The sequence below is a fragment of the Homo sapiens genome, chromosome 3 (genome assembly GCF_000001405.40).
Source record: "Homo sapiens chromosome 3, GRCh38.p14 Primary Assembly".
NCBI lineage: Eukaryota > Metazoa > Chordata > Mammalia > Primates > Hominidae > Homo > Homo sapiens.
Genome location: NC_000003.12, coordinates 158,021,840 through 158,036,397, shown reverse-complemented (window position 1 = coordinate 158,036,397; position 14,558 = coordinate 158,021,840). Strand labels below are relative to the sequence as shown.

Sequence of the window (14,558 nt, the reverse complement as noted above, 5' to 3'; positions counted from 1 at the left end):
TCTCTGCACGTGAGATGGGTTTCCTGAATACAGCACACTGATGGGTTTTGACTCTTTATCCAATTTGCCAGTCTGTGTCTTTTAATTGGAGCATTTAGCCCATTTACATTTAAGGTTAATATTGTTATGTGTGAATTTGATCCTGTCATTATGATGTTAGCTGGTTATTTTGCTCTTTAGTTGATGCAGTTTCTTCCTAGCCTCGATGGTCTTTACAATTTGGCATGTTTTTGCAGTGGCTGGTACTGATTGTTCCTTTCCATGTTTAGTGCTTCCTTTGGGAGCTCTTGTAGGGCAGGCCTGTTGGTGACAAAATCTCTCAGCATTTGCTTGTCTTTAAAGTATTTTATTTCTCCTTCACTTATGAAGCTTAATTTGGCTGGATATGAAATTCTGGGTTGAAAATTCTTTTCTTTAAGAATGTTGAATATTGGCCCCCACTCTCTTCTGGCTTGTAGAGTTTCTGCCAAGAGATCAGCTGTTAGTCTGATGGGCTTCCCTTTGTGGGTAACCGGACCCTTCTCTCTGGCTGCCCCTAACATTTTTTCCTTCATTTCAACTTTGCTGAATCTGACAATTATGTGTCTTGGAGTTGCTCTTCTCGAGGAGTATCTTTGTGGTGTTCTTTGTATTTCCTGAATTTAAATGTTGGCCTGACTTGCTAGGTTGGGGAAGTTCTCCTGGAAAATATCCTGCAGAGTATTTTCCAACTTGGTTCCATTCTCCCCGTCACTTTCAGGTACACCAATCAGACGTAGATTTGGTCTTTTCACATAGTCCCATATTTCGTGGAGGCTTTGTTTTGTTTCTTTTTACTCTTTTTTCTCTAAACTTCTCACTTCATTTCATTCATTTGATCTTCAATCACTGACACCCTTTCTTCCAGTTGATCGAATCGGCTACTGAAGCTTGTGCATTCGTCATGTAGTTCTCGTTCTGTGGTTTTCAGCTCCATTAGGTCCTTTAAGGACTTCTTGGCATTGCTTATTCTAGTTAGCCATTCATCTAATCTTTTTTCAAGGTTTTTAACTTCTTTGCCATGGGTTCAAACTTCCTCCTTTAGCTCAGAGAAGTTTGATTGTCTGAAGCCTTCTTCTCTCAACTCGTCAAAGTCATTCTCTGTCCAGCTTTGTTCCATTGCTGGTGAGGAGCTGTGTTCCTTTGGAGGAGGAGAGGAGCTCTGATTTTTAGAATTTTCAGTTTTTTCTGTTCTGTTTTTTCCCCATCTTTGTGGTTTTATCTACCTTTGGTCTTTGATGATGGTGACATACAGATGGGGTTTTGGTGTGGATGTCCTTTCTGTTTGCTAGTTTTCCTTTTAACAGTCAGGACCCTCAGCTGCAGATCTGTTGGAGTTTGCTGGAAGTCCACTCCAGACCCTGTTTGCCTCGGTATCAGCAGCAGAGACTGCAGAACAGTGAATATTGCTGAACAGCAAATGTTGCTGTCTGATTGTTCCTCTGGAGGTTTCATCTCAGAGGGGTACCTGCCTGTGTGAGGTATCAGTCTGCCCCTATTGGGCGATGCCTCCCAGATAGGCTACTCGGGGGTCAGGGACCCACTTGAGGAGGCAGTCTGACCATTCTCAGATCTCAGACTCCATGCTGGGAGATCCACTACTCTCTTCAAAGCTGTCAGACAGGGACATTTAAGTCTGCAGAGGTTTCTGCTGCCTTTTGTTTGGCTATGCCCTTCCCGCAGATATGGAGTCTATAGAGGCAGGCAGGCCTCCTTGAGCTGCAGTGGGCTCCACCCAGTTTGAGCTTCCTGGCTGCTTTGTTTACCTACTCAAGCCTCAGCAATGGCAGGGGCCCATCCCCTAGCCTTGATGCCGCCTTGCAGTTCAATCTCAGAGTGTTGTGCTAGCAATGAGCGAGGCTCCGTGGGCGTTGGACCCTCTGAGCCATGCGCGGGATATAATCTCCTGGTGTGCCGTTTGCTTAGACCATTGGAAAAGTGCAGTATTAGGGTGGGAGTGACTCGATTTTCCAGGTGCCGTCTGTCACAGCTTTACTTGGCTATGAAAGAGAATTCCCTGATCCCTTGCACTTCCTGGGTGAGGTGATGCCTCGCACTGCTTTGGCTCATGCTCGGTGCACTGCACCCACAGTTCTGCACCCACTGTCTGACAAGCCCCAGTGAGATGAACCTGGTACCTCAGTTGGAAATGCAGAAATCACCTGTCTTCTGCATTGCTCACACTGGGAGCTGTAGACTGTAGCTGTTCCTTTTCGGCCATCTTGGAGAAAACCCCCATTTTAGCATTTCTTGTAGGGCTGGAGTGGCAGTGACAAATTTCCTTAGCATTTATTTGCCTGAAAATGACTTTATTACTCCTTCATTTATGAAATTAGTTTTGCTGGAAACAAAATTATTGGATGACAGTTATTCTGTTTAATGAGGCTAAAGATAGAAGCCCAATCCTTTCTAGCTTGTAAGGTTTCTGCTGAGAGGTCTGATGTTAGGTTTTCCTTTATAGGTTACCTGATACTTTTGTCTCACTGCTTTTAGAATTTTTTTCTGAAAAGTCACCTCTTTTCATCTGCAGGAATGTTGATGTTCCAAGTAGAAAGGAATAGCCTGATGACTAAATGCCTTGGTGACGTCCTCTTTGCCATGACTCTTCCACGATTCCTTTGAACTTTTTGTATTTGGATATCTAGATCTCTAGCAAGGCCAGGGAAGTTTTCCTCAATTATTCCCTCAAATGAGTTTTCCAAAGTTTTTGCTTTCTCTTCTCTCTCAGGAACACCAGTTATTCTTAGGTTTGGCCATTTTATGAATTCCCATATTTCTTAGAGATGTTGTTCATTTCTTTTTGATTCTTTTTTCTTTATTTTTGTCTGATTGGGTTAATTTTTCTTGTGTTGTCTTTGAGCTCCGAGATTCTTTCTTCTACCTGTTCTAGTTTTTTGTTAACATTTTCCACGGCATTTTGTAATTTCCTAAATGTATTTTTTATTTCCAGAGGTTTTGATTGATTTTCCTTTAAGATGTCTATTTCTTTAGAAAAATTTTCATTCATATCCTGAATTGTTTTTAAAATTTCTCTGTTGGTTTTCACCTTTCTCTGGTATCTCCTTGTGGAGCTTAATAATCAATGTCTTTTCTTTCTTTCTTTCTTTCTTTCTTTCTTTCTTTCTTTCTTTCTTTCCTTCCTTCCTTTCCCTCCTCCTCCTTCTCCTTCTTTTCTCCTCATCCTCCTTCTTCTCCTGCCCCTCCTACTTCCTACTCTACCTCCCCCTCCCCTTCATCCTCCTCCCCCACCCTTCTTTTTCTTCTTCTTCTTCATGTAGAGATGAGTTCTCACTATGTTGCCCAGGATAATCTTAAACTCCTGAGCTCAAGTGATCCTCCCATCTCAGCCTCCCAAAGTGCTAAGATTACAGGAGTGAGCCACTGCACCTGGTCAAACTTTTGAATTATTTATCTGGTATTTGAAAGATTTCATCTTGGTTAGGATCCATTGCTGGAAACCTACTGTGTTTTTTTAGGGGTACTATAGAATCCTGTTTTGTCATATTATCAGAATTATTTTTCTGGTTTCTTTTTATTTGTGTAGACTATTTCTTATAATTATTCTTGAATTCATTTTTGATTTGACTGTTTTTTTAATTTCTTTTTTTCCCCTTTAAAGATATTACTTTCATGTTTATGGTTTATTGTAGCCTAATTCAGTTCTTGGTGCTTTCATGGGTGAAGACTCTGTATGAGTTCTTGGTTATAGGCAGTCTTTTTATGAGGCTTTCTCAGATGCTGGCTGTAATAGCAATGTGCTTGGTATGTGAGCAAGTCCACTTTCTCCTATAAGGTTGGTATGGTAGAGGTGTCTTGAAACTTATCTAATTCCCCTGTGGTATGCACTTATTTATTTATTTCCCCCTCAGTATTTTATTTACTAAGTTGAATATTTCTGACTCTGGGTCAATAGGGGTGTAGCTGTGTGGAAACCAGTTGTGGCTGAAGCAGGTAGATAAATGCAATACCTGATGGTAGGCAGAAGTTCCAGCCTTGACAGAGGTGACTGGGAGACCTCTCAGTAAAACACACTGAGATCTTATCAGGGGAAGAGTGGAAGTCACCTCAGCTCCCCTGCCAGGCAAGCAGGAAAGTGATCCACCTCCCAGACATAATCCTGACCCAGTGTGCTGGCTATTCAGATCAGAAAGCCACCTCTTTTCCTCTGCAGGAATGTTGATGTTCCAAGTAGAAAGGAACTGTAACTCTATCTCTCATGTAAGCCTGAACCTGGAGGGTGCTCTTTCTGTGAGGATGCAGTCACCCTGAAGTGTTCCAGAAATGCTGTCTATAGGTGTACCCATGCCAAGCTCCTGTGGGAGAAGCCCCAGTTGTGTCTGCAGTGGTAGACGAAGGCAAAAGAAGTGCTATTTTCCAAGATCTTTCACAAGCACCAGAATTGTCTGATTGTTGGGGTAGAGCTGCAGACTTTTCCTGCTGAGTCCAGCACTGCAACTGTGCCTCTGCTGAAAGAAACTTCCCAACAGCAGAAAGACCTGTATGATAGGTAGGGATAATTTCGGTCTTCTGCATATGGTTAGCCAGTGTTCTCAGCACTCTTTATTGAATAAGGGATGCTTTTCTCATGAAAAATACATAATTTAAATGATTCAAAGAGAAATAAGAAATGGATGCCACTTAATTATGGGAAACTTTATGTTTAAAAGCACAGGGAAAGTGCATTAAAGATGCCATATTCATTTATATTATTATTTGGTAGCATGTAAGAACATTAGATAAATAAGAAGGGCTAATGGTTTTATCTTGTAATTATAGAACCAATGGTTAACCTATGGTAAATGAACAAATGTTAAAAAGACAAAAAAAAGATACACGGCTAGAAAAAAATTATAATCTGATCACATTGAGTTAATACCTATTGGCATTGTGGTGTATGTCTTCTAATCTTCTTTGCATCATGGTACAATATGTACTAACCATAAAAGTAATAAAGCCAACATCTTTGGCACCTACTTCCCTGTCTTTATGCTTGACAAAGTATTTAGAGCTTTCTTTTGCCTTATCAGGTTTCCATGAGGACATGGAAAACCACAGGCTTGTTCTCTCACACTGCTGCCTTACAGATCATCACTCTCCTTTTTGAATGGCTCTGGCATTTTGGGTTGATTCTCTATATTGTGATCATCATAGTCAATGGTCTCTTCTAATTATTCAGATAAATTTCTTTTTTCTTCATTTAGACTTCAAGGGAAAGGGTCCCCTGCACTTTTCCCTCCTCTCCCCATAACTCCAACTACAGTGCTTTCCACATGACATATGCACTTTAAAAAAACAGACACTTTAAAAACGTTTGTTACATGAATAAATTAGTAAACATCAGAGATGAGGAAAAGAAAACTGATAAGCATCAGTTCTTCCTTTGTTGCATACCACAGCTTCTTTGGGAAATTTTGGCATCTCTCCTATAAATTATTAAAGTCCTTACAGGCAGGTACTGTAAGCCATCTTTGTGTGCATTTATCAAATATTTATTGAGCAAATGTTTATGTGTTAGATATTGTGATGAGGTAGAGGTGGAGTGAGAAGAAAGATACAAAGAGAATCTATGTAAATAAGACATGGTTTTGGCTTTAGAAGTTTATAGATTAGTGGGGTTGGGGAAACGTAAGCATATCTTTCACAGTCTAAGGGAAGGGAAGGGGCTAACATTTAGAGAGCATTTGCTACATAACACTTTGCTAAGGTAGGTATTATTATGCCCATTTTAAAACTGAGGAAACAGAGGCTTCAAGGAGTTTACTGAGGGTCACTTAGATTGGGCTTTAAAGCTCTTTTAATTTGGAAATAGTAGGGATTGCAAGAACATTTGCGGTGTGAGCACATGAGCACTGGTTTCCTCACCATTTAATTGTAGTCAATTGAGGAAAGAATAGGAATTAAACCCAAAATATTTCTTGTTTTCAGTCTGACTCTCAGACTAAAATTTGTCTATTTTTGGCTATTGGATTTTTCCTTTAGGCAATGGTAGTCTCCTGTCTGGTCTGTTTTATTTCTTAACTTTGACTTTAGGGACAGCTTCCCAGAAGAAGTGGCATTTGAATTGAGTTGAATAGTGATTATCCAGGTAGGCAAGGGCCTACAAGGTGAGGGAAGATATTCTGCGCCAAGTAACAGAATATGTTGAGACCTGAAAGGTGTTTCTGAATCTCAGGTTCAAGGAAGTGCTGAGAAAGATGGAAAGTGAGTCTCCCAAGGTGTTAGAGTTAGGTTTGAAGCCTTTTAACAAAATCAATATGCCCATCTCGTCCTAGGATTCAGTATGTGACCACTTGAGCAGGCTATTTTCTGCACAGCAGCACCGGGCCAGTGGAGGCTAAACTCCCACTTGCTAGGTGGTAGGCCCTGGCCTTGGGTGACTTTAGCCCAGAGGAAGTATAAACTTGTTTGTGTCATTCAACTGGAGCAGGTGCTTTTCCTAATTCATCCACTGAGTTGCCATTTTTTGTGATTCTTTCTCCAGGAGGAGACACTTATTCCTACTTCACACAGAGGCTCAGTTTGGTAGACTGCTACCTGCCTGGTGGTGGTCAAAAATTCCTGTTCTCTAGAAAAGGAAAATTTTTCTCACTGATCTCAGTGTAAGAGTCCCTGAATAGAAAACAAGTAGAGAACCCAAGTAGATAACATGTATAGTAAATACATTTTTTCCCTCCCAGAAGGGAACTATCTATCATTTTGCCCATCTGGCTATTCCTCCTTCTCCTTCTCCTTCTCCTTCTCCTTCTCCTTCTTCTTCTTCTTCTTCTTCCCCTAATCAAACTACTTGCTTAAAAGAATTTTGGCCTCTATTTTGCTTCCTCCTCTGTGCAATGGAGATAATGCCAGCACCTGCTTCATGGAGCTCATGAAGCTTCAATATAGTAATTCATATCAAGATATTTAAAAGAATGTCTGCCAAATTAGATGTGCTCGAGAAGCATTAGTTTTCCTTCTCCTCCCTCCCTCTTCCTTCCCAGCTTCTCCTTGTACTTTTTCTTCTCTCCTTCCACTCCTTTTTCTATATTATCAAATGACTGTTCGCATCAATATGGTCTTGTTCTTTCTTGCCTGCTGGCTGCCTCCTGCCCAAATCACTGTGAAATAAATTGGAGAGTCCTTATCACATTTACATAATGTTAAATAGCTTTTAAGGTATGAATATTTTGAGGATTAATAGCATTCTTTTTTCTGATATAGGTGTAATGTAATCACAAAGCCCTATTGACTGTTCTATCCATTTACATGATTTTTATTAACATTATCAAGGAATGGTCTTTATCTTTAAACTCTATTTTTATAATGAAGTATGCAAAAACCTCCAGGCACATTAAACTGGCATGAAGTCTTTAACTAATTAAATTAGTCAAGATGGTCTAATAGTAAAAACGTTTTTACAATTTTAAATGAATAAGTCAGCATCTATGAATTAATTTAAAATAAATGTGTAATTCTTATGAAAGTATTTCAGTTCATTTTATTATGCCCAATTTTTTTAAAGAAATGCATCTCCAGATCCACCAATTCCCAGGTTTTTGCTCATAAGGAGCTGAAAACTTGATAACTTGAAGTAATACATATTTTGAAAATTATACACAGAATGACTTAGAATGAATTACATAATTGTTTTTCCTGCCAGTGGATTTGTTTATTTCTTCATGTTGTTTTAAAAAGAGCGATGTAAAAATTATTTTGCGTTTCGTAAGTAGACTAGCTGCAAGATGGGGGCATTATAAATTCACCATTGCAAATTCCCAAACCCAGGTCTGCTAGCTGGTAGTTGAAAATTACATAGAGTTACCATTATGAAACTAATGAGAACCGGTAGAATAAAAGTCAACATCTATCAAATACCTATTTATAGAGAGAGCTTTAAGATTTGCTTTAGTGGAAATAGGCTCTTGGTGCATAAGAGATTATAAAATAAATCACGTATTACTTGCTTATTCCATCCCTTTTATACATTTTATTCTATTACAATTTTGAGGAAGAAATATGATTTTGTTTTCTTTGATTAATTTTCTTATTGGGAGGCTATTCATCATGTAAAAGCATACTAAGACTAACGGTTGCAAGAAATGGAATATTTGACTACATAGTAAATACTGGTAATGCTTACTCAGATATGTCATCAGGAAGATTATTATGATCACTTCTTTTTTTAAGGCTGAATAATATTCCACTGCATATACAATGCATTTTCTTTATCCATTTGTCTGTCAATGGACATTTAGTTTGTTTCTATATCTTGGCCATTGTGAATAATGTTGCAATGAACATGGGAATGCAGGTATCTTAATAAGGTGATTTCATCTCCTTTGGGTATAGACCCAGAAGAGGTATTGCTAACTTGCCTTTTGCTACAACATGGATGGGTCTGGAGGACATTATATTAGGTGAAATAAACCAGAAACAGAAAGAGAAATATTGCATGATCTCACTTATATGTGGGAACAAAAAGATCTCCAGTACATAGAGATAGAGAATGAAATAGTGGTTAACATGAGCTGAGGGTAGGGGGAGGAAATGGTGAGATGTAGGTCAAGGACACAAAATAACAGACATGTAGGATGAACATGGTTAGAGATCTAATGCACAACATGAATAAAGTTAACAAATTGTAGTGTATTAAGGATTTTTGTTAAATAAGTATATTTTAAGTGCTCTTGTCACAAAAAAGTAACTGTGTGAAATGATAGATATGTTAAACTGCCTCACCATAATAACCATTTTACTATCTATATGTATCCCATAACATCATGTTGTAAATCTAAAATATACACAATAAAATTATTTTTTTTTAAAAGAAGGTTATTAGGTACACTTAAGTTAGTCTGCAAAAGGATAAATTATTTCCTCTTGGGACTTCTGCAAACAAACACGGATTTTTACATAGTCTAGTTTAGAAATATATATTTTCTTTGGTTTGTTTTTCTGGAAGAAAAACAGATTTCACAGAAATGCTACATTTCTTATTTTTTTTAGATTCCTTGAGAGTAAGAAAAAAGAGCAGATCATATTCCTATGTGGTCTGGAAAGAATTTGATTTTCCAGAATTTTAAACAATTCTGCCAGATGAGGGCTTCAGGAGTATAATGATCCCCCTTGTAGCAATTTTAGGCCTACATCTATTACTCTTAAGTGATAACTGATAACTCTTAAAATCAGCTTACCTAGAGGATAACTGGTACTGATTGAGGGACTGTGGAGGCAAACAAGTTTCACTTATGAGAGGAACAGATATCATTATGTCATTCCATTATGATTGCCCTCCCCCATTTTAAATTAAAATATCCAAAGAAAAAGAGACAAGGATTATAAATAATTATGGTAGAAGGAGCCATCCATTACTTTCAGAAGTTCCTGGTCTGGATGGATTAACAGACTAGAAAAACATAAATGACTCTATGTATTGAATAACACAATTGTTGTACCAGTTTTATGTTATAGTCGTTAGAGTACAAGTGATGAACCCAGACAGTCCAGGTTCAAAATCTTGTTCTGCCATGCTGTAGCTATGTGGTTCTGGACAAGTGTTTAAGCTCTTTAAGCATCAATTTTCTCATCTGTTTAATGGGGAAAAGAGTACACATGTTAATTTTTTTTTTTTTGGTGAGGATTAAATGAGCTAACGCTCATGCAAAGTGCTTAGTACACAGTAAGTGCTCAGCTAATGTAAGTTATTTTGGCTAGATGTAAGCTCATGGATAACAGAGCCCTTAATTGATAAAGCGGCTGAGGGTAGAGCAGTGGTGTCAGTCAGGAGGCATAGGTCAAGGAGCACATCCTGTAGAAGAGAAGAGAAAATTTGACCTTGTTTTTGAAGTGCCAGTGAATATTCATTGATGAAGAAAGGAGAAGGAATATTTCAGGCAGTGGAGCTGGCATGCAGCTAAAAACAGAAATGCTTGTGAGGCTACATAAATCATGCTGATTGGAGTTTGGAAATAGATTTACTTGGCCAGAGGTAGATTTGTACAGGAAAGCAAGAAAGGATGGAGTTGATTACATAAATGGCCAGATGTATGTTAGCTTACATTTAAAAAATCTCTTTGGCAATAGGGAGCTTTTGTATCTTTAAACTAAAGAATGAGATTATAAAACAAATATTTGTCAAAGTTATTTCAGCAGCAGTTTCTGGTTTGGGTAGGGAGACAATGGCATCTATGAAGGGTGTTGATAATCCAGGTACTGCCGACATAGTTCCAGGAAATGTCCAGGGAATTGGAAAGCAAGAGTGTAATTCTGAGAGGTAGTTTGTATGCAGGAATGATACAGTTTGGTAATAGACTCAAGGTGAGAACTCAAATAGAGTAGTTGATAATAATACCTTAAGTTATTACCTTATCTGGGTACCTATTATATAAATAGAACCTCCCATTTCACCACACAACATTCATGCCAGAAATGGAGGAAGAGACACACTTTGTTTAACAACTTCATCAGGGATTCTACAATGATGATATCAAAGTTCCAGATTTTGGTTGCTCCAAAGGAACTTTGTTATTGAGGGACTGGAGGGAGACAAATTACTCTGCATGAGCAAATTACATATATGTGTATGTATTTATTAAAATATATATTTTGCTCCTGATTAAGTTGTTTTAGGAGGGGGGTGTGAGAAGGGCAGAGGAGACAGAGAATAGCCAAAAGCTTTTTTTTTTTTTTTTAATTATTATTTTTTTTTATTATACTCTAAGTTTTAGGGTACATGTGCACATTGTGCAAGTTAGTTACATATGTATACATGTGCCATGCTGGTGCGCTGCACCCACTAACGTGTCATCTAGCATTAGGTATATCTCCCAATGCTATCCCTCCCCCCTCCCCCCACCCCACCACAGTCCCCAGAGTGTGATATTCCCCTTCCTGTGTCCATGTGATGTCATTGTTCAATTCCCACCTATGAGTGAGAATATGCGGTGTTTGGTTTTTTGTTCTTGCGATAGTTTACTGAGAATGATGGTTTCCAATTTCATCCATGTCCCTACAAAGGACATGAACTCATCATTTTTTATGGCTGCATAGTATTCCATGGTGTATATGTGCCACATTTTCTTAATCCAGTCTGTCATTGTTGGACATTTGGGTTGGTTCCAAGTCTTTGCTATTGTGAATAGTGCCGCAATAAACATACGTGTGCATGTGTCTTTATAGCAGCATGATTTATAGTCCTTTGGGTATATACCCAGCAATGGGATGGCTGGGTCAAATGGTATTTCTAGTTCTAGATCCCTGAGGAATCGCCACACTGACTTCCACAATGGTTGAACTAGTTTACAGTCCCACCAAGAGTGTAAAAGTGTTCCTATTTCTCCACATCCTCTCCAGAACCTGTTGTGTCCTGACTTTTTAATGATTGCCATTCTAACTGGTGTGAGATGATATCTCATAGTGGTTTTGATTTGCATTTCTCTGATGGCCAGTGATGATGAGCATTTCTTCATGTGTTTTTTGGCTGCATAAATGTCTTCTTTTGAGAAGTGTCTGTTCATGTCCTTCGCCCACTTTTTGATGGGGTTGTTTGTTTTTTTCTTGTAAATTTGTTTGAGTTCATTGTAGATTCTGGATATTAGCCCTTCGTCAGATGAGTAGGTTGCGAAAATTTTCTCCCATGTTGTAGGTTGCCTGTTCACTCTGATGGTAGTTTCTTTTGCTGTGCAGAAGCTCTTTAGTTTAATTAGATCCCATTTGTCAATTTTGGCTTTGGTTGCCATTGCTTTTGGTGTTTTGGACATGAAGTCCTTGCCCACGCCTATGTCCTGAATGGTAATGCCTAGGTTTTCTTCTAGGTTTTTTTTGGTTTTAGGTCTAACGTTTAAATCTTTAATCCATCTTGAATTGATTTTTGTATAAGGTGTAAGGAAGGGATCCAGTTTCAGCTTTCTACATATGGCTAGCCAGTTTTCCCAGCACCATTTATTAAATAGGGAATCCTTTCCCCATTGCTTGTTTTTCTCAGGTTTGTCAAAGATCAGATAGTTGTAGATATGCGGCATTATTTCTGAGGGCTCTGTTCTGTTCCATTGATCTATATCTCTGTTTTGGTACCAGTACCATGCTGTTTTGGTTACTGTAGCCTTGTAGTATAGTTTGAAGTCAGGTAGTGTGATGCCTCCAGCTTTGTTCTTTTGGCTTAGGATTGACTTGGAGATGCGGGCTCTTTTTTGGTTCCATATGAACTTTAAAGTAGTTTTTTCCAATTCTGTGAAGAAAGTCATTGGTAGCTTGATGGGGATGGCATTGAATCTGTAAATTACCTTGGGCAGTATGGCCATTTTCACGATATTGATTCTTCCTACCCATGAGCATGGAATGTTCTTCCATTTGTTTGTGTCCTCTTTTATTTCCTTGAGCAGTGGTTTGTAGTTCTCCTTGAAGAGGTCCTTCACATCCCTTGTAAGTTGGATTCCTAGGTATTTTATTCTCTTTGAAGCAATTGTGAATGGGAGTTCACTCATGATTTGGCTCTCTGTTTGTCTGTTGTTGGTGTATAAGAATGCTTGTGATTTTTGTACATTGATTTTGTATCCTGAGACTTTGCTGAAGTTGCTTATCAGCTTAAGGAGATTTTGGGCTGAGACAATGGGGTTTTCTAGATAAACAATCATGTCATCTGCAAACAGGGACAATTTGACTTCCTCTTTTCCTAATTGAATACCCTTTATTTCCTTCTCCTGCCTGATTGCCCTGGCCAGAACTTCCAACACTATGTTGAATAGGAGCGGTGAGAGAGGGCATCCCTGTCTTGTGCCAGTTTTCAAAGGGAATGCTTCCAGTTTTTGCCCATTCAGTATGATATTGGCTGTGGGTTTGTCATAGATAGCTCTTATTATTTTGAAATACGTCCCATCAATACCTAATGTATTGAGAGTTTTTAGCATGAAGGGTTGTTGAATTTTGTCAAAGGCTTTTTCTGCATCTATTGAGATAATCATGTGGTTTTTGTCTTTGGCTCTGTTTATATGCTGGATTACATTTATTGATTTGCGTATATTGAACCAGCCTTGCATCCCAGGGATGAAGCCCACTTGATCATGGTGGATAAGCTTTTTGATGTGCTGCTGGATTCAGTTTGCCAGTATTTTATTGAGGATTTTTGCATCAATGTTCATCAAGGATATTGGTCTAAAATTCTCTTTTTTGGTTGTGTCTCTGCCCGGCTTTGGTATCAGAATGATGCTGGCCTCATAAAATGAGTTAGGGAGGATTCCCTTTTTTTCTATTGATTGGAATAGTTTCAGAAGGAATGGTACCAGTTCCTCCTTGTACCTCTGATAGAATTCAGCTGTGAATCCATCTGGTCCTGGACTCTTTTTGGTTGGTAAACTATTGATTATTGCCACAATTTCAGAGCCTGTTATTGGTCTATTCAGAGATTCAACTTCTTCCTGGTTTAGTCTTGGGAGAGTGTATGTGTCGAGGAATGTATCCATTTCTTCTAGATTTTCTAGTTTATTTGCGTAGAGGTGTTTGTAGTATTCTCTGATGGTAGTTTGTATTTCTGTGGGATCAGTGGTGATATCCCCTTTATCATTTTTTATTGTGTCTATTTGATTCTTCTCTCTTTTTTTCTTTATTAGTCTTGCTAGCGGTCTATCAATTTTGTCGATCCTTTCAAAAAACCAGCTCCTGGATTCATTGATTTTTTGAAGGGTTTTTTGTGTCTCTATTTCCTTCAGTTCTGCTCTGATTTTAGTTATTTCTTGCCTTCTGCTAGCTTTTGAATGTGTTTGCTCTTGCTTTTCTAGTTCTTTTAATTGTGATGTTAGGGTGTCAATTTTGGATCTTTCCTGCTTTCTCTTGTAGGCATTTAGTACTATAAATTTCCCTCTACACACTGCTTTGAATGCGTCCCAGAGATTCTGGTATGTGGTGTCTTTGTTCTCGTTGGTTTCAAAGAACATCTTTATTTCTGCCTTCATTTCGTTATGTACCCAGTAGTCATTCAGGAGCAGGTTGTTCAGTTTCCATGTAGTTGAGCGGCTTTGAGTGAGATTCTTAATCCTGAGTTCTAGTTTGATTGCACTGCGGTCTGAGAGATAGTTTGTTATAATTTCTGTTCTTTTACATTTGCTGAGGAGAGCTTTACTTCCAACTATGTGGTCAATTTTGGAATAGGTGTGGTGTGGTGCTGAAAAAAATGTATATTCTGTTGATTTGGGGTGGAGAGTTCTGTAGATGTCTATTAGGTCTGCTTGGTGCAGAGCTGAGTTCAATTCCTGGGTATCCTTGTTGACTTTCTGTCTCGTTGATCTGTCTAATGTTGACAGTGGGGTGTTAAAGTCTCCCATTATTAATGTGTGGGAGTCTAAGTCTCTTTGTAGGTCACTCAGGACTTGCTTTATGAATCTGGGTGCTCCTGTATTGGGTGCATAAATATTTAGGATAGTTAGCTCCTCTTGTTGAATTGATCCCTTTACCATTATGTAATGGCCTTCTTTGTCTCTTTTGATCTTTGTTGTTTTAAAGTCTGTTTTATCAGAGACTAGGATTGCAACCCCTGCCTTTTTTTGTTTTCCATTGGCTTGGTAGATCTTCCT

General features: G+C 38.6%; 1 annotated feature.

The window, feature by feature from the left end:
• Positions 1,889-3,088: an enhancer, noted in NCBI's record as "CDK7 strongly-dependent group 2 enhancer chr3:157751099-157752298 (GRCh37/hg19 assembly coordinates)". NCBI's record gives its function as "activates an origin of replication core promoter dependent on BRD2, BRD4, P300/CBP, MED14 and CDK7 cofactors, with strong dependence on CDK7, by STARR-seq in HCT116 cells {active_cell/tissue: HCT116}" and the evidence as "EXISTENCE:reporter gene assay evidence [ECO:0000049][PMID:35650434]".